The sequence below is a fragment of the Homo sapiens genome, chromosome 10, assembly GCF_000001405.40.
Source record: "Homo sapiens chromosome 10, GRCh38.p14 Primary Assembly".
NCBI lineage: Eukaryota > Metazoa > Chordata > Mammalia > Primates > Hominidae > Homo > Homo sapiens.
This window is the reverse complement of record NC_000010.11, coordinates 84,154,226-84,173,694: the sequence shown is the minus strand read 5'-3', so window position 1 is coordinate 84,173,694 and position 19,469 is coordinate 84,154,226. Positions and strand designations below refer to the sequence as shown.

Here is a 19,469-nt window from a genome sequence, read left to right as displayed (position 1 = left end):
TCCCAAGAGGAAAACCAGCCTTTCAAGATGCATTTAGTAACCTGTAACACAGAAAGCTGTAAATGCCCAGCCCAGAGAGGTTTCAGAACTGGCTTCAGTGGTGAGAGCAGGAACCAACTGCCCAGGAAGAGCCACTGTCTAGAGTTGAACGTTAACTTTTAGTGTCAGTAATAATCCTATCAAATGCAGCTCTTCCTGCTCATTCCTCAGCTGTGTCTGGAAAAAGGATCATAAAACCCTTGCAGGTTCTGATCCAAGGATGAGTCTTGAGTAACCAATGAGATGTAGAGAGCACAGGTCCTGGAGTCAGATGACCTGGGTTTGAGTCCTGGTTCTGCCACTTAGCAGTGTGACATCAAACTTGTCCTTGAATGTCTTTGAGTCGGCTTCCCATCTGTGAAATGGGCACAGGACTATCTCTCTCACAAGCCTGTATTGAGGCATGTATGAGAAGCCATCTGCACCAAGGTGCTCACACAGCTCTTAAAGGAGGTGGGGCCACAGGTGGACTTTGATGTTTAAGACAGTGATGAAATGAGAAGACACTTCAAGTACAGGGTCACCCTGAACAAGGCCTGGAAGAGAGGAGCCTCTGCCCAGGGCAGGCATGGGGGAAAGTCTGACCACAGGTGCAGGAGGCTCAGATGCCACCCATTCACTGGACACGTGACCTGGGCTGAGCCATGCGCTTGGCTCCAGGGACACAGAAGACACTGTGCCTCGCCTCAAGGAGCTCCTGTTGGTGGAGGAAGCTGTGCAGACAAGTGACTGTCTCACAGCATTGTAAGTGCTGTCTATACTGAAGGAAGGGGACGTAGGTTGCTCAGTCAGAAGGTGGGGGAGGGAGGGGACACTCTGCAGAGATGGAATAAGATTGGGTCGGAGATGGCCTGGCATGGTAGGCCAGGTCATGGTGGGCTTCCTGGACCAGCAGAGGAATCAGACTGGCAAAAGGGAGGCCGGGGGATCCTTCAGCCGGGTAGAGACTGATGACAGGAATGCTTTGGGCTCCTTTTCCATCAGAGTGGGTCTGAGTTCCCTTTAATAATGGTGCATGGGTGCCTGAACACTTGCTAGGCTCTGGCCTCAGATGGTGTCAGAGGGTTCAGAGCCCCTGGGCCTATGAGAGGTGGTGGGTAGGAGGAATATTTTTCGGAAGAAATTAGGATGTTTCCCATGCACCCTGATGAGCCTCTGCCTGGGCTGCTCTCAAACCTCCACTCCCAAACTGAGGGAAGAGAGATACCCTCTCATATTGTTTTATATTGTTTTATACTCAGTACCTCTTTTAAGAAAAAACAAGGAAGTAAAACCAAAGACAGGCAGCCCGGCGCCAGGCCTGAAACCAGGCCTGGGCCTGCCTGGACTAAACCCAGTAGTTAAAAATCAACTCATAACTTAAAAACCAATGTTATTCATAGATTCCAGACATTGTATAGAAGAACATTGTGAAACTCCCTGCCCTGTTCTGTTTCTCTCTGACCACCGGTGCATGCAGCCCCTGTCACGTACCGCCTGCTTGCTCAAATCAATCACGACCCTTTCATGTGAAATCTTTAGTGTTGTGAGCCCTTAAAAGGAACAGAAATTGTGTATTCAGGGAGCTCAGATTTGAAGGCAGTAGCTTGCCGATGCTCCCAGCTGAATAAAGCCCTGCCTTCTACAACTCAGTGTCTGAGAGGTTTTGTCTGCGGCTCACCCTGCTACATTTCTTGGTTCCCTGACTGGGAAACGAGGTGACTGACGGATGGCCGAGGCAGCCCCTTAGGCGGCTTAGGCCTGCCCTGTGGAGCATCCGTGAGGGGAACTCCGGCCAGCCTGAGTGACGTGATCCAAAGAGCGCTCCCGGGTAGGCAATTGCCCCAATGGAACGCCTTGCCAGAGCAGCGTGTAGCAGGCCCCCACGGAAGATTAACACAGTGGCTGAACACCAGGAAGGAACTGGCACTTGGAGTCCGGACATCTACAACTTGGTAAGACTAGTCTTTGGAACTTGCCCCACTCCATCTGAGTGGAAGCGTGGCCTGATCACCCACAGTGTGCCTGTATTGGCATTTTGTTCTGGTTTTGACTTGGCTTGAGTTGGTAAGACTAGTCTTTGGAACTTGCCCTACTCCATCTGGGTGGAAACATGGCCTGATCACCCACGGCATGCCTGCATTGACACTTTTGTTCTGGTTTTGACTTGACTTAGATTGTGTGATACTTTGGTTTTAGTTTTGACCTGGCTTGGATTTCTGGATACTCTGATTTTGGTTTGGTGTAAACTGCAAAAGTGTGTGTGTGCCCTTTTTACCTGTTTTTTGTTTTGTGGTGTGTGTGTGGTGTGAACATGGTGTTTTGTCTTGAAGAAGCATGGGTCAGGCAAAAATAAGCCCACCCCACTAGGAACTATGTTAAAAAAAATAAAAATTTCAAGAAAGAATTTAAGGGAGATTACGATGTTACTGTGACACCAGGAAAACTTAGAACTTTGTGTGAAATAGACTGGCCAGCATTAGAGTGGGTTGGTCATCAGAAAGAAGCCTGGACAGGTCCCTTGTTTCAACGGTATGACACAGGGCAACCTGTAAGCCAAGGCACCCAGACCAGTTTCCATACATAGACAGTTACAGCTGGTTTTAGACCCCCTTCCCCTCCACAGTAGTTAAAAGAACAGCAGCATAAGCAGTTGGGAGAGGCAAGGAAAGACCAGCAGAGAAAAAAAAAAAAGAGGCCATCTATACCAATTCTAAGTTAATTTAGACTAAACAAGGTCTTATTAATAGCAAAGGATAATTGAAATCCCAAACTTACAAGGTTTTCAACAAAAGTGAAGTTTGCTAAAAGTTAACAGCATAACATATATTGTGGTAACTTCTAATCTTGTGGCCTTAGAGAGTCTAGTCCAAAGACATAAAGAAAGTTCGCTTTAAAAAAAGGAATGGTTATCTTCAAAAAAAAAAGCGGGGGGGAGGCAGAATTTATGTAAAAAGAGTGTTATATGGTAAATTCTTGTCCTGAAATAAATTAACTGGTTGTTTAAAGAAAAAAAATGTTTGTAATAAGTCAGAAAGTTGAGGCATGTTGAAGAATTGTCGGCGAAAGTTGTGAAAGAAAAAATGTTATAAAAAAATTTATGCAAAAAAGCCTCCTGAGTACTACTATTGAAGAAACAGTTTATGTGCAAGGTGTATAAAAATAGTAAAATATACCTTTGGTAAAAAGATTATAAGGAGGCATAAGAATGTGGATTTTTACCAACATTAAAAGGTTAAAAAATTATTGTTTTGAAAGTTTAAGCAAGTTTTAAAACTTTAATTGTAAAGAAAATTCTGTGTATAAACATATTAGCTAAAGTTAAAAAGGTATCATCCAGCTTTTCTGTGAACTGGACATTAAAGTAAAAATGCAACAGGTTTTTCTTAAAGCATCAACCTGCTCTTTAACAAAAATTATAAAAGGTTAAAAAGAGTCTATAAAATCTCACCTTATGGTCAAACATGAAAAATTGGATAAATATATCTACAAGGTTTTATTAAAATTAAGTTTAACATTAATAACACACTAATATAAAGGTAAAATTTAGCTTATCTGGTATAAAAATCATACAAGAAGCATTATTAAATATAAAATGGTGTTTAACTTTCTTTGGTCTAAAAACTAATAAAAATAGGTACTAAAGGAAACATTCCTTTTACTAGAGGATCATAGAAGTTAAAGACTTAAAACAAACTTTGGAAATTAAGACAGCATACCAAGATGCAAATGCCTGGTTGAAATGGATCAAATATTCCATCTGCACATTAAACAAAAGCAATTGTTATGCTTGTGCACATGGCAGGCCAGAGGCCCTGATTGTCCCCCTTCCACTAAGGTGGTCCTCCAGTCGACCAGGCGTGGGCTGCATGGTAGCTGTTTTCCAGGATTCTACAGCCTGGAGTAATAAGTCATGCCAAGCTCTCTCTGCTATATCCTGAAGTCCCTGAGGGTCAGCCCCCGAAGGCCATCCAGCTTCTGTCTCCCAACGCTAAGTTCACTTCTTGTCTCTCGTGGCAGGGAGGAGACTTAGCATTCCTTGGAGACCTGAAGGGATGCAGTGAGCTTAAGAATTTTCAAGAGCTTATCAATCAGTCAGCCCTTGTTCATCCCCGAGTGGATGTGTGGTGGTATTGTGGTGGACCTTTACTGGGCACTCTGCTGAATAACTAGAGTGGCACTTGTGCTTTAGTCCATTTGGCTATCCCTTTTACCCTGGCACTTCATCAACCAGAGGAAGAAAAAAATAAAATAAAATAAAAATCATAAAGTGAGAGAAGCCCCTTATAGGTCTTTCAACTCTCACATCTATTTAGATGCAATTGAAGCCCCGCAAGGAATACCAGATCAATTTAAAGCTTGAAATCAAATAGTTACAAGATTTAAATCAATATCTTGGTAGATGACAGTCAATAAAAATGCAGATTAGATAAACTACATCTATTACAACCAACAGCAATGAGCTTTTCATGAATTTAAAAGAAAAAATTGTGTTGGCCCCAGCCCTGAGGCTACCTGACCTGATGAAACTCTTTACACTCTATGTGTCAGAAAGAGAAAAAATGATAGTTGGAGTTTTAACCCAGACTGTAGGGCCCTGGCCAAGGCCAGTGGCCTATCTCTCAAAACAACTGATGGGGTTTCCAAAGGCTGGCCCCCATGTGCAAGGGCCCTGGCAGCAATGGCCCTGTTAGTACAAGAAGCAAATAAGCTAACTCTTAGGCAAAACCTAAAGTCCTCGTATGCTGTGGTGATTTTAATAAATACCAAAGGACACCATTAGCTAATGAATGCTAGACTAACTAGATACCAAAGCTTGCTCTGTGAAAATCCCCGCATAACCATTGAAGTTTGCAACACCCTAAACTCCGCCACCTTGCTCCCGGTATCAGAGAGCCCAGTTAAACATAACTGTGTAGAAGTATTGGACTCAGTTTATTCTCGTAGGCCCAACCACCGAGACCACCCTTAAACATCAGTAGACTGGGAGCTGTACGTGGATGGGAGCAGCTTTGCCAACCCTTGCAAAGTGACTCTGAAGAAGACGACAAGCCTTGTTCCGGTCACACCCGGAAGCTGACTGGTTCACGCATGGCCGAAGCATGAGGAAACTCATCGCGGGAATAATTTTCCTTAAAATTTGGACTTGTACAGTAAGGACTTCAACTGACCTTATGCTAAGCTGCCTGATCAGTGGACAGGTAGCTGTGTAATTGGACAGGTAGCTGTGTAATTGGCACCATTAAGCCATCTTTCTTCTTACTGCCAATAAAAACAGGTGAACTTCTAGGCTTCCTAGTCTATGCTTCCCGTGAAAAATGAAGCATAGCCATAGGTGATTAGAAAATAATGAATGGCCCCCTGAAAGAATCATACAATACTATAGACCCACCACTTAGGCACAAGATGGCTCATGAGGATATCGAACCCCCATCTACATGCTCAACCGAATCATACAGTTACAAGCGGTTTTAGAAATTATTACTAATAAAACCGGTCAAGCCTTGACTGTTCTTGCCCGGCAAGAGACTCTGATGAGAAATTTTATCTATCAAAATATACTAGCTCTTGACTACTTGCTAGCAGCTGAAGGAGAAGTTTGTAAAAAATTTAACCTTACTAATTGTTGTCTACACATAAATGATTAAGGGCAAGTAGTTAAAAATATAGTTAAAGATATAACAAAACTGGCACATGTACCCATGCAAGTGTGGCATGGGCTCAATCCGGGAGCCATGTTTGCAAATTGGTTCCCAGCAATGAAAAAATTTAAAACTCTTATAATAAGAGTAATAATAGTAATAGAAACCTGCTTACTGCTCCTTTGTCTGATACCTGTATTTCTCCAAATGATAAAAAACTTTGTCACGACCTTAGTTCACCAAAATGCTTTAGCAGAAGCATACTATATAAATCACTATCAATCTATTGCACAAAAAGACATAAGTAGCAAAAATAAGACTCAGAACTCCCACTAATAAAAACTGAGAGTCTCAAAGGGGGGAAATGAGGGAAGAGAGAGAGACCCTCTCATATTGTTTTATATTGTTTTATACTCAGTACCTCTTTTAAGAAAAAGTGACAAGGAAGTAAAACCAAAGACAGGCAGCCTGGTGCCAGGCCTGAAACCAGGCCTGGGCCTGTCTGGCCTAAACCCAGTAGTTAAAAATCAACTCATAACTTAGAAACTGATGTTATTCATAGATTCCAGACATTGTATAGAAGAACATTGTGAAACTCCCTGCCCTGTTCTGTTTCTCTCTGACCACTGGTGCATGCAGCCCCTGTCATGTACCGCCTGCTTGCTCAAATCAATCACGACCCTTTCATGTGAAATCTTTAGTGTTGTGAGCCCTTAAAAGGGACAGAAATTGAGTATTTGGGGAGCTTGGATTTTAAGGCAGTAGCTTGCTGATGCTCCCAGCTGAATAAAGCCCTTCCTTCCACAACTCAGTGTCTGAGAGGTTTTGTCTGCAGCTCATCCTGCTATAAAACCAGCTCTGCTCATGCTTCCAGCCCCAGCTCAAGAATCTCCCTGCCTTGAAGCCTTCCCTGGCCCCTGGTACAGGTAGTGTTAATGCATGCTGTGACCTTTACCTCAGCCTGTTGTTTCCCACTGGATAGTGAGCTGCTGGAGACTCAAGACCTGAGCCCAGGGGAAATGATGGGCAGGATCCCTGTGGGTAGGGGCAGGCCATGTGGGCCTGTTGCACCTTTATGCGTGGTCGGGCCTCTCTGGTCAGCTCTGAGCAGTGCAGAGCTCTGCAATGTCTTGGGTGTGCTGAAGGTCCACTGTGACACCTGCCCACCTGGCCCCAGCAAGCTGTCATCCGGAAGGTCAGACTTGAGCAAGAGGAGGAAAGCAAGCCCAATGCCTAGAGGATATAAGAATTGAGGAGCATGCAAATTCTCTTCCAGCAATGACAATGCTAAGATGTGTGGGAGGTTGTTTCCAAGTTGTTGAGCATGGGTTGGGGATTGCCCCTGGCTGAAGAAAAAATGTGAATTTTGGCTGGGTGCAGTGGCTCACGCCTGTAATACCAGCACTTTGGGAGGCTGAGGTGGGTGGATCATGAGGTCAGGAATTTGAGACCAGCCTGACCAACATGGTGAAACCCCATCTCCACTAAAAATACAAAAATTAGCCAGACATGGTGGCGCGTGCCTGTAATCCCAGCTACTCAGGAAGCTGAGGCAAGAGAATTGTTTGAACTCGGGAGGCAGAGTTTGCAGTAAGCCAAGATCATGCCACTGCACTCCAGCCTGGGTGACAGAGCGAGACTCCATCTCAAAAAAAAAAAAGAAAGAAAGAAAAAGAAAAAATGTGAATTTTGTGTCATGCACAGAACTGCGTTTGCCCTTGCAATGTGGTGCCCACCTGTCCTTTGCCTTAATAACGATGACCGTCTTTTTTTTTTTTGAGACGGAGTTTCACTCTTGTTACCCAGGCTAGAATGCAATGGCACGATCCTAGCTCACCATAACCTTCGCCCTCCGGGTTCAAGAGATTCTCCTGCCTCAGCCTCCTGAGTAGCTGGGATTACAGGCATGCGCCACCATGCCTGGCTAATTTTGTATTTTTAGTAGAGACAGTTTCTCCATGTTGGTCAAGCTGGTCTCAAACTCCCGACCTCAGGTGGTCCGCCCGCCTCGGCCTCCCAAAGTGCTGGGATTACAGGTGTGAGTCACAGCGCCCGGCCTAAGGATGAACTTCTAACCAAAAAATCTGATGCTTGTTCCTAGCTTGAAGGACATATGGGAAGATGCCAGTACCTGGTTCAACACTTCAGGATCTCCCTGGTTCCTGGAAGCCAATTCAGACATTGCCCACTGCCAGATACTGGCCAATGGTGCACTTCATTGGTCTTCTATTTTTGTCACAGATTAGAGAAGCAATTTAAACCACGTGCTCAGGCTGCTCAGTGGGCAAATCAATGGCAGGAGACATTTTGATGGGCTGCCCTCATGCTTTTATGCATTTGCAAAAACTAAAATTGATCCACATAAATAAACTGGTTTCTTTGAACTACACATCATGCTATGTCAGTTACCTGACTGGCCCCAGAGAGACTCTTTGCAGGCTATGCTCTGAGTCCTGATATCTGTGCGAAGTGGACAGCAGCCACAGCAGAGGATAGGGGCAGGAAGACCCCAGGAGTCTACCAGGGACAATTGCAGAGCTGGAGCCCAGGAGAGGCTTGAGGGTGAGGAAGAGGTGGGGTTCCTCTTGAGGCTGCATTGCTAGCTGGGACACTGCTCTTATTTGGAATGCCTGCTAAGGGTTAATAAACTCAGCAACATTCCCTAACGGTGCTTCCTAAGGTTAGAATTACATCCATGTTCCATATCAAGGATCAGCACCACAATTTTATTTTTCTCAGGGCTCATTTGAGGGTGTTGTCATGAGTTCTCTGGGCAGCATCACACCTTCAGCTAGCACTCACCTGTTACCTGTTTTTTGTTGAAATAGTTCCTTGCTGCTTTTGGCAAACCATCATCAGAGGGGAAAAGAACAAGCTAGCTGACAGAGTTCAGCTACGGACTAGGCCAACTCTTAAAGCTCACTGTAATCGCTTAGCAGTGGTGCAGGAATTAGGGGCAGATTCTGAGGTTAGTGAAGAGAAAGATTCATCTGGATCCACTGATCAACTGAACCAGGTCTTCGGTCATTTTCTCAAGATCCCTCAACCACTCAGCCATGGAGTCAGAAAGACTTTAGGTTCTCAACACAGCTCTTCTTCTCACTGAAGAACAGAGACTAAGCGCACTAGTCTCTGCTAAGAGCAGGAAGAATTTCCTATCTCAGGGGCTCTCTTCCTTCCCTACTCACACATACAATTCACAGATTTGCAGGTTTTCCTAGGACCATATATTTCTAAGGAAGAAAAGATTCAGATGTCAAAAAATTCTACCTGCTTTTAAAACACTTACAGAAAAATGACTGAAGCAATCCATGCCACATTAATTTAAATAACACAGGGCGTAAAGTGTAAGTTCTGCCTCAACTCCACTCCCCAGGGACAATCACTGTTCACAGATTTTCACCTGCTTTTAACATTTCAAAGAGAGCTGTCAAATTCTTGCTTTAAAAAAGGAAGAAACACCTCGGGCTCTTTAGAAAATTCAAAATCTCATGTTGAGCTGAGAAAGGTGAAAATGAGAGGCATTTTAACAGGAACACCTGTTAGTTTTGAGCATAAGCAGTTTTGGTACAAAAAATACTCAAATTTGAGGCTTTAGATGATTTCCAAAGGTGATTTTGAAAACTTGCCTCCCTTCCTGAGAAGAAAAGTTCTCCAGAGACACACCTGACACACTGGGGAATTTGTAAGGAAGACTTTTTTTTTTCAATTTAATTTGTAATTTCTAAGGCCAGTTAGGAAATTGCCTGGAGCATCTCCACCCTTTACTGGCAAACCACTCTGGGCGTGAGTCCCACACTTCACTCCCAGTCACCACGCTCTTCTTTCAAAAGTGTTTTATAGACCCCAACATTGATCAGAAATGACTCTCCCACCTTATTTACTTAGCAAACTGCAGCTCAGCTTATAATGAAGGGAGGCACCAGGCCTGGGCACCATCCTTTGCTTGTCCCCTCATTTAATTATCTCCCCACTTCAGGGAGACAGGCATTTACTTGTTACCTCACTCAACAGGGAAAGGGAACCTTCCCTTCACTCCATAAAAAAGGTTATGGGAATTTTTCAACTGGAACCAGATCTGTCTGACTCCAAAGTTTCTTTCCAGAGTTCCGTGAGAGCTCATGCACAATTGAGAATAACTCACAACATTGATGTTCAGTGTACACACACTCGCCACGACCTGTACAAAAACCCAATAGTTTCCTCTATTTTTACAGTTAGTCCGAACTTCCTTGTAAGTCTCCAGCCTACCGCCTCTGGGCATCCTGCTGCTGAGGTCAAAGCTGGTATGTCTGTCCAGTATCTGTTCCCTCAACCCCCGATCCTTTTGAGGACACCCTTGGCTCTCGTGGGTGCTGTGAATTTTCCCACTGTTTATCAACAAAAAGAGTAAAACTCTGTATATTTGAAAAGATTTATTCTGAGCCAAATATGAGTGACCAACAGCACATGACACAGCCCTAGGAAATCCTGAGAACATGTGCCCAGGGTAGTTGGGCTACAGCTTGGTTTTATACATTTTAGGGATGTAGCAGGAAGAGCCGCAGAAAAAACCCCTCAGACACTGAGTTAAAGAAGGAAGCGGTTTATTCGGCTGAGAGTATCAGCAAGACTCCTGTCTCAAGAGCCGAGCTCCCCAAGTAAACAATTCCTGTCCCTTTTAAGGGCTCACAACTCTAAGGAGGTCCATGTGAGAGGGTGGTGATCGATTGAGCAAGCAGTGGGGACGAGACTGGGGGATGCATACACAGGTAATTAGAATGGAACAGAACAGGACAGGGATCTTCACAGTGCTTTTTTATGCAAATAACCGATTAGGTCAGGGGTCGATCTTTAACTACCAGGCCCAGGGTGTGGTGCCATTCTTTTTTCCTTTATTTTCTTAATAAACTTGCTTTTACTTTACTCTGTGGACTCACCTGGAATTCTTTCTTGCACGATGTCCAAGAACCCTCTCTTGGAGTCTGGATTGGGACCCCTTTCAAGTAATAGTTATGTACAGAAAGGTGGGACAATTCGAAGGGGTGGTGGTTCCAGGTCATAGGTGGAGACCTGGGATTAATCGAAAGGAATGTCTGGGTTAAGATACGAGGTTGTGGAGACCAAGGTTCTTATTATGCAGATGAAGTCTCTAGGTAGCTGGCTTCGGAGCTCTTGTCAGACCTTCAAAGGCACCAGACTCTTAGTTAATTTTCTCCCGGATCAGGGAGAAGACCTGGAAAGGGTGGGGATTCTCTACAGAATGTAGATTTTCCACACAAGAGACAGCTTTGCAGAACCATTTCAAAATACATCAAAGAAGTATATGTTGGGGTAAAATATTTCAATTTCCTTCAGGGCTTACTATCTGTCATGTGATACTACACTAGAGTCAGGCTGGAATTTGGTATCTTATTGCTATAAAAAGTCTGCTTTATTAGTCTTAAGATCTCTGTTTTAATTTTTTTTTTTTTTAAGAGGGAGTTTCATGCTGTCCCCCAGGCTGGAGTGCAGTGGCACGATCTCGGCTCACTGCAAGCTCCGCCTCTCGGGTTCACGCCATTCTCCTGCCTCAGTCTCCTGAGTAGCTGGGATTACAGGCGTCTGCCACCACGCCCGGCTAATTTTTCTATTTTTAGTAGAGACGGGGTTTCACCGTGTTAGCCAGGATTGTCTCGATCTCCTGACCTTGTGATCCGCCCGCCTCGGCCTCCCAAAATGCTGAGATTTGTTTTAAGGTTAATATTGTTTAGTTGTGCCTGAATTCCAAAGGAGGAGAGTATAGTGAGGCATATCCGACCTCCTCTTCTTATCATGGCCTGAACTAGTTTTTTCAGGTTTACTTTGGAATTCCCTTGGCCAAGAGCAAAGGAGTCCATCAGTCAGCTGAGGGGCTTATAATATTATTTGGGGTTTACGTTGTTTATTGTCTCCTTGTACCCTGGGTTGATCTGTCCACCATAGCATTGGTGGTAGGGCTACCCTGCCTCACTATGGCAGCAGCTAGCAGGCCTGCAGACTCCTCCGCAGGGAATGTGCTGAAATGTCATGATCTCCACTATGCCACAAAGATGAGACTAAAAGGCAATGTCTTTCATTCTCCCATGGCCACTCTAGGTTGGTGTTGAAGCATGTGTGAAACCAGTCCCTGGGCTCTTGATAAGCATACCCCCTTCATGTTTGGCCTTGCTCTCTCTCTCTCTGGAGTTTCTGTCTTTTGCCCCCACCCCTTCATACCCAGCCCAAGTTTCAGCCTAAAGTAGGGGACTCAGGACCCTTGTATTTGGTGTCTTTCTACCTCCCCTACACTTGTTAAAATAGCACAGGCTTTACAGCCACATGATCCATGCTCTAACCAGCGCTCTCCTATGTTTTAGCTGTGTGACCTGCACAAGTTGCTCAACTTCTCTGTGCCTTTGTTATTTTCGATGTAAAATAGTAGGTGCAGCTGGAGAGGAACAGATTCACTGGATGAGAGTGTAATGTTAAAAGCGCCATGCAATATGAACATAATTTTTTATTATTTTAGGTGGCCAATTTTCAGAAATGGGGTACATAGCTTTCCCTTCCTTTCTCAATTTTTCTTACCCCCCACGTTTATTATAATTGAGTATTACAATAGTTAAGGATAAAAGGCTTTTACTTTTTTGAGACAGGTTCTCCTCTGGCTATGCTGCTCATGCTGCAGTACTGTGCCTATTCACAGGTGCAATAATATTATGTGCCCTACAGCCTCAAACTTGTAAACCAAAAGTAAATTCTAAGCCCCATCCCCAACCAATTGAGTGGACTCCTCCTCTGGGCCAAGGGCATTCTAAAGTAAACCTAAAACGCTAGTTCAGGCATGATGGGAATGGGTGGGAAGACAGGCCTCATTACCCCCTCCTCCCGTTGGAATTCAGGCACAGCTGACCAGCATTAACGTTAAAATAGAGACCTGAAGACTCTTTGTAGCAATATTACAGCTAGCAGGCCCTGAAAGAAATACGTATTTTACCTCCAAAATGTATTTCTTTGACATATTCTGAAATGGCCCTGCAAAGCTGTCTCGAGGGGAAAATCAACATTCTGTAGAGTTGATTTTCATCCTTTTCCAGGTCTTTTTCCAGATCCAGGAGAGAATTAACTAAGAGTCTAGTATCCAGTCTGATAAGAAGCATTTATAATCAATTCTCTCTGAAGCCTGCCACCTGGAGGCTTCATCTGCATAAGAAGAACCTTGGTCTCCACAACCTCTTATCTTAACCCACACAATCCCTTCAATTGATTCTAGATCTTTAGATAAACTTTCAACAAATTGCTATTCAGAAAATCTTTGAATCCACCTATGATCTGGAAGCCCCCCAGCCCTCTGAGTAGTCCCACCTTTCCGTACTGAACCAATATACATCTTACCTGCATTCATCGAAATCTTAAGTCTCCCTAAAATGTACAACACCAAGCTATAGCCCAACCACCTTGAGCACATGTTCTCGTGATCTCCTGGGTTCTGTCATGGGCCATCGTCATGCATAGTTGGCTTAGAATAAAACTCTTCAAATATTTTACAGAGTTGGATTCTTTTCATCAACAAACTCTTGGGCTCAAGTGATCTTCCCACCTTAGCCTCCCAGGCAGCTGGAACTATAGGCACATGCCATTGTACCTAACTACAGATAAAAGAGTTTAGAACACTCAACTAACAAGGCCATTCTGACCCTGAAATTCTAGTGAAATTGAACTTAACGCTGATCCAAAATGTAATACTATTCCCCAGGAATTTTTTTTTTAAACTTCTGGATCTTTTTGGTTAACATCGTAACCACTGGCTTAGATTTCCAGTTTCTGCAGAATTCTCATTTTTAATTTATAATATGATAATGAAGTATATTTTAAAATTAATTTTTTGATAAACTATAATAATATATTATCATGGCAGACACAGTGATGTTATATGTACACAGTGTGGAATCATGGAATCAAACTAATTACCATATCCATCACCATAAATACACATCATTTATAACATCTCCTCATTCCCCCCCACCCACCAGCCCCTGGTAACCACCACTCTACTCTCCGCTTCTATGAGTTTGATTTAGATCCCACATGGAAATGAAAACGTGCATTTTTTGTCTTTCTGTACCTGGCTTATTTCTCTTAACATAAGGTCCTCCAGGTTCATCCTTGTTGTTGCTAGTAACAGAATTTCATTCTTTTTAAAGGCATTTTTTGAGTGGCATTCCATTGTGTATATATAGCACATTTTCCTTATCTATTCATCTGTTAATGGACAGTTAGCTTGATTCCACATCTTGGCCATCATGAATAGTGCTGTGATAAACAGGAGTACAGATATCTCTTCGAGATACTGATTAAATTCCCCTAGAATTTATAGCCAGTAGTGGGACTGCTGATCTTCCTTTCTTTTTCAACAGCAATCTGTCTCCAAAAAATACCCAACCTCCCACTTGTGCTCAAGGATAGCTGATACTGCTTTAATGAGGAACGACTATTTTTCTTGCCACAATTTGAGGCAAAGGAAGCACACACACTGAAATTAAGGTCCAAATGACTGATCCTAGGCTCATATCCAAGTGCAGATTTTGACAGAGAAAGGTGAGAGGACAAACAGAGCAAGTGCGAGGAGGAACTCGGGCAGGAGGGAGGGAGGTTGTGTAGAAAGGAGGATTAGCAGTGCCAAAGCTTTCCTCTTTTGCCGGTGCTTAGAGCTGGAAAACTGCAGGTAGGGCTGAGATGGATCCTGTTTGTCAGCGTCTGTTCTGTACTTTGCAATTTGACAGCAGGCTTCCCAGCAGACATGTGTCACCTTGCCTCCGCATTTTCACCCCCACACCTAGCACACCCAGGAAAGGGCAGGGATGTGGGAGGTGAAGCTAGGGCCATGTACTCCGGGGTAAACTTCAACCTCACAGAAGGAGCCAGGCTAGGAGGACCCTGAAGGCCCTGGGTTCAGTTCCGCAGGGCGGAGAGACTGCTTTCCTGGGCCATTCCACTAGTTCCCGGATCTGGAAAGCTCCTTGTAAAGTGTTTCCATAATTTTCATTTTCTCCCCATGTGTCCTTTGCCTTTTACAAAATTACTTAAGGGCAGCTATAATGTACTAAAAAAGATACCAAAAGCCCCATTTTCTTATCAAATGCCCATTTTTTTCTGCCACTCAGAATTAATAACAGTGAAAGTCTTGTCATAATTTATCCAACTTCTTTTTAAATAACCGTTCTATTTAAATGAGGAAGGCAATCATGCTTGCATCTTCTGAGAAACAGTGTGGTTAAGGGTGGCGTCATTTGATTGTCACACAGCAGAGTCCTGAAGGACATTTTATAGCTTTTCAAGAATACCCACATTTTTGTCAGGGTCTTGCAGGCAGAGAAGGTTGGGTTCTCTGCAAAGGAGATCAGGAAGTCCCCATGATGCTACACATGCGAGCCAGGCCAGACATTCCCCTTTCCACAAAGTACCAACCCTTCTGGGCTGGTGCGTTTGGACTCAAATGTCCCTATATGCACTCCTCATATTTGCTTCCGTCCTCTGAACTCCGGTGGCAATTAGTCTGAATAAACCTCTTGTAATTTCTGGATAATGATTTTATAATTACCTTGAATCATTGAAGTGTGTTGCTATTTCTTATCATTTAACTACTCTCGTACTACTTTAGAGTGTCTAATAAATGTTGATTTAATCTCTTAAAACAGTGGCTTCTAATGATTAACATTCCCCACCCACAGTAAAGGCTTCTGCCTCCAGCACTGCCTTCTCTCTCTAGAATTAGATCCTCCTAGCAACTACCCACTCCCACTGCTCATTGGATGCTGTCTTCTAGAATGATGGGTTTCCAGCCATTCATCCTTGTGTTTCCCCACAGCTGGTGCTAACAGTTCATTCCCTCAAGGTGTACCAAATGGAATGAACCTATTAAATCCCTAACTCTACTAACAGATCATACCAAACCAGTAACGTGCCCTTTCTTAACTTCCATTTATATTCCTGTTTGGGGGTCATTCTGTGTTGCTGACCTCAGTCCGTTCAGCCTGCATACTTAAAAGTACGTAACTGGGCCTTCTCTCTTCTTCCCCCAACCCCACCATGTGAGGACACAGCAAGAAGGCTGCCATCTACAAGCTAGAAAGTGATCCTTGACTGAGTGTGGTGGCTCATGCCTGTAATCCCAGCACTTCGGTCTCAGAAAAATAAAAGTGATCCTTCACCAAAAACAGAACATGCTGGAACCTTGGACTTGGATTTCTAGCCTCCAGAACTGTAAGAAAATAAATTTTTGTTGCTTAAGCAAAAAAAAAAAAAAAAAAAGAAAAAGAAATCTTCAAAAAAGTACATAACTGGGTGGGGTGAGCTTGTTTGTACTTCAGAAGATCCCCTCTGAATCATAAATAAGTAATAATTAGTTACTGAGGTCATTTATCAAAAGACAATGCTTTAGATATCTGTTCTTACAGGACAGTGAAGTATTAGAAAATCATGGGAAAAAGAAAACCACCGGCAAATATTTTTCCATTTTAAAATGCCACTGACTTTAAGACATGCTAGTTTTGAGAAAAAAAAGAAAAATCCTGAAATAGAATATGCACTTCAGAAATGAAATGCAAAAAAATGCTGTCTCTTAGAAATGAGATAATTCAACTACTAAGCAAATAAAATAAACCTGTAACATTCCTCCAATGAGATGGCCATGGACCTGTTTTCTCTGTTGACTGTGTAAAAACACTCTGGGGACACAGGTGAGAAAATCCATGTCAGGCATATGGAGGGTTAACTTGGAGGAATGATGGCCCACTGACACCATACCTGTGGGTCATCATGCTGCTTTTACAAATTGCCCAGTGGAAAGCATAAATTGAATGTTTAAAAACTACTAAACTTGCGTATACGGTTGTGAGGAAAAACGTCCATTCAGTCCTGCCAGAACACATTAATTTTATCTCGAGTGTAGCCACGGGGATCCTCGCACTTCTACTATCTGTATCCAGTGAGGTTGCAACAACCTCACCATCCATCAAGCTCTCTGTAGAAGGTGGAAGGTTGAGAGAAGTCCCCTGAGGAAGAGTGACATTGCGCTGGGTGACTCAGTCTGACGCAAGCCACAAATGAGGCAGAACAGGATGCTGAGGCTGAGGGGAAGAGCTTGTGCAAGGCCTCCCCTCATGCTAACTGCGCAGCAGCCCATAAGATGCGGGCCATAATGGTCGTTATGATTCTCCTCCCCCACCAGTCTTTTATTTAGGTTCATTTTTGCTTGTGGCAAAAAATACTCTCTTCATGGTTCTCAGATGTTAATGAATTGAATGTTCACCGTCCATCTTCCTGAATTGCTTCACAAAAGAATCTTACTTTAAAGGTGGAAAGTCCTCAAGGTCATAGCTTTCTAATCTATTCCTGAAAAGTCATTTCCATTTTGTGCTAGTTAAAAATGGAATGCATTTAGGATTTCATCTTATTGATGAAATTGACCTTAAAAAATGGTCAATTTTGATTTGTAGCTCGGAGTGAACTGGGCAATACAAAAAAGGACTATTTTGTACCGTAAGAAATAGATGTGAGGAAGGCACGATGATTTCCAGTATCCTTCACTGAGGTCAATTTTTTTTTCACAGAAAACTAAAATGTTCCTGTTCTATTTCCTTTAATTTACTCAGAATACTGATTCCCAAGATTTTAAAAGTGACTTACACTTTAATAGAATCTCAACCTATTTAATTTGTATAGTGCTTTTGTGATTCTCAAGCAAAATTCTACTTCTTCAACTTTTACTTTGGATTCATGGAATACATGTGCAGGTTGTTACTTGTGTATACTGCGTGATGCTGAGGTTTGGAGTACCAATGATCCCATCACCCAGATACCGAGCACAGTGTCCAATAGGTTTTCAACCCTTGCCCCACTCCTTCCTCTAGGAATCCCAGGTATCTATTATTACCATCTTTATGTCCATGAGTAGCCAATGTTTAGTTCCCATTTGTGAGAACATGGGGCATTTGTTTTTTTGTTCCTGGGTTAATTTGTTGTTTGTAACAGGATGATGGCCTCCAGCTAACTCTATAAGGACAAGCTTGCTTTCTTTTATATGGCTGTGTCCTACACGATTTTAGATCTATCATCTATCCTCCCGGCATAATTGGTTAGGGAGTTTGTCTCATTATTCTTCCCAGCCATATGACCTTGTGCAAAGATCAAACTTTGGGCAAAGAGTTCAATTCAAACATCAGCTATTACTAGTGTAGCTGGGCCACCCTACCCCACTGGAATTATATGTCTTGGGTATCACTCAGTTTTAGTACCTTTAACCTGGACACGTTACCCAGATACAATTTCAAGGTAAACATGCCTGCCTGTCTTCCTAGTTTTTTTTTTTTTTTTTTGCCCAGCAGGAGTGCAGTGGCACAATCGCAGCTTCGAAATGCTAGACTTAAGCAATCCTCCTGAGTAGCTGGGACTACAGGCATGCGCCACTGCACCCTGCTGATTTTTAAATTTTTGGTAGAGATGGGTTTTTTTGTTGTGCAGAGTGGTCTTGAACTCCTGGGCTCAAGCAATCCTCCTGCCTCAGCCTCCCGAAGTGTTGGGATTACAGGCATGAGCCACCACGCCTGCAGGTTTTAACATGTTAAGCAAAGCACACACCCGCAGCAAGTGGGAAATCCAGCTTCAAGAGAATTTCCATTTCTTACCATCTTTTTCCACTTTGTCCATCTCTCCCTGCAGCCCTCCCCCATCAAGCATCCATTGTATGAAATGCCCATACTACCTTTTTCTGTGTGCTTTACCTACTATGCTTACTCTTGAAAATTTCCTCCTGGGCCATCTTAGAAACTTATTATTCAGTCTGCATTTCCATTTTGCTTACCTTTCTGTGACACTCATCCAATGGCCTATGGCCGTGTTTACACGGATTTGATATGCTTTAGAAGGCAATTACTTTTATTCATCATTGTCTCCCCTGGGCCCAGCTAGCATGGCACCTGTTACATAAAAAATTCATGTTTTCTGACTGTTCAGTAGATGCCATTTTAAGCAACAACTCAAAGGGCCTTTTTTCTCGGGATTATTTTAAAACATGTTTCATTTATCCTCTAGTATTTCAGACGATGTCAGAAAATGAAAAATGGACATTTACTTTTTTACCTAAAGCCTATCACTTTGCAGGTCATTACTCTTCGCTGTGAATGAGGAAAAAAAAAAACAAAAACTCTGTGGTATGTTAAGAGCCAAGAAACTAGTGATTTTTTTCTATTACCATTTACAACTGGTATGTTTTACAAACGATCACATTTTATATATCAGCTTACCTTTTATATGTTATTTATTTATTTATCTTTTTGAGACGGAGTCTTGCTCTGTTGCCAGGCTGGAGTGCAGTGGCGCGATCTTGGCTCACAGCAACCTCCGCCTCCTTGTCTCAAGCGATTCTCCCGCCTCAGCCTCTCAAGTACCTGGGACTACAGATGCACACCACCATGCCCAGCTAATTTTTGTATTTTTAGTAGAGACAGGGTTTCACCATGTTGGCCAGGATGGTCTCCATCTCTTGACCTCATGATCTGCCTGCCTCGGCCTCCCAAAGTGCTGGGATTACAGGCGTGAGCCACCGCACCCGGCCACATTTTATATATTATTTTGCATAGCCTTCATTGTCTTAGCAAAGTCAGAAGAAGTCCAATAACATAATGTCATTAAATTAACAACAACGACAACAACAACAACAAAACAACCCAGGATGGGGGCAGTGGCTCAAGCTAGTAATGCCGACACTTAGGAAGGCCAAGGTGAGTGGATTGTTTGAATCCAATTTAAGACCAAACTGAACCCCTCTAT

General features: G+C 43.2%; 1 long non-coding RNA gene across 1 annotated transcript, besides 8 other annotated features; it reads left to right on the top strand.

The window, feature by feature from the left end:
• Positions 375-424: an enhancer, noted in NCBI's record as "active region_3677". NCBI's record gives its function as "activates an Ori minimal core promoter by ATAC-STARR-seq in GM12878 lymphoblastoid cells {active_cell/tissue: GM12878}" and the evidence as "EXISTENCE:reporter gene assay evidence [ECO:0000049][PMID:35858748]".
• Positions 1,245-1,484: an enhancer, noted in NCBI's record as "active region_3676". NCBI's record gives its function as "activates an Ori minimal core promoter by ATAC-STARR-seq in GM12878 lymphoblastoid cells {active_cell/tissue: GM12878}" and the evidence as "EXISTENCE:reporter gene assay evidence [ECO:0000049][PMID:35858748]".
• On the top strand, positions 1,619-6,467 carry CERNA2 (competing endogenous lncRNA 2 for microRNA let-7b). Its single transcript, NR_134505.1, has 2 exons — positions 1,619-1,973; positions 4,966-6,467. It is a non-coding gene; the product is annotated as a competing endogenous lncRNA 2 for microRNA let-7b (long non-coding RNA).
• Positions 1,799-2,300: an enhancer, noted in NCBI's record as "H3K4me1 hESC enhancer chr10:85931151-85931652 (GRCh37/hg19 assembly coordinates)". NCBI's record gives its function as "activates a minimal SCP1, AML or CMV promoter by ChIP-STARR-seq in primed H9 embryonic stem cells {active_cell/tissue: H9 hESC(primed)}" and the evidence as "EXISTENCE:reporter gene assay evidence [ECO:0000049][PMID:30033119]".
• Positions 1,835-1,884: an enhancer, noted in NCBI's record as "active region_3675". NCBI's record gives its function as "activates an Ori minimal core promoter by ATAC-STARR-seq in GM12878 lymphoblastoid cells {active_cell/tissue: GM12878}" and the evidence as "EXISTENCE:reporter gene assay evidence [ECO:0000049][PMID:35858748]".
• Positions 6,136-6,185: an enhancer, noted in NCBI's record as "active region_3674". NCBI's record gives its function as "activates an Ori minimal core promoter by ATAC-STARR-seq in GM12878 lymphoblastoid cells {active_cell/tissue: GM12878}" and the evidence as "EXISTENCE:reporter gene assay evidence [ECO:0000049][PMID:35858748]".
• Positions 11,245-11,960: an enhancer, noted in NCBI's record as "H3K27ac-H3K4me1 hESC enhancer chr10:85921491-85922206 (GRCh37/hg19 assembly coordinates)". NCBI's record gives its function as "activates a minimal SCP1, AML or CMV promoter by ChIP-STARR-seq in naive and primed H9 embryonic stem cells {active_cell/tissue: H9 hESC(naive and primed)}" and the evidence as "EXISTENCE:reporter gene assay evidence [ECO:0000049][PMID:30033119]".
• Positions 12,293-12,794: an enhancer, noted in NCBI's record as "NANOG hESC enhancer chr10:85920657-85921158 (GRCh37/hg19 assembly coordinates)". NCBI's record gives its function as "activates a minimal SCP1, AML or CMV promoter by ChIP-STARR-seq in primed H9 embryonic stem cells {active_cell/tissue: H9 hESC(primed)}" and the evidence as "EXISTENCE:reporter gene assay evidence [ECO:0000049][PMID:30033119]".
• Positions 17,870-18,383: an enhancer, noted in NCBI's record as "NANOG hESC enhancer chr10:85915068-85915581 (GRCh37/hg19 assembly coordinates)". NCBI's record gives its function as "activates a minimal SCP1, AML or CMV promoter by ChIP-STARR-seq in primed H9 embryonic stem cells {active_cell/tissue: H9 hESC(primed)}" and the evidence as "EXISTENCE:reporter gene assay evidence [ECO:0000049][PMID:30033119]".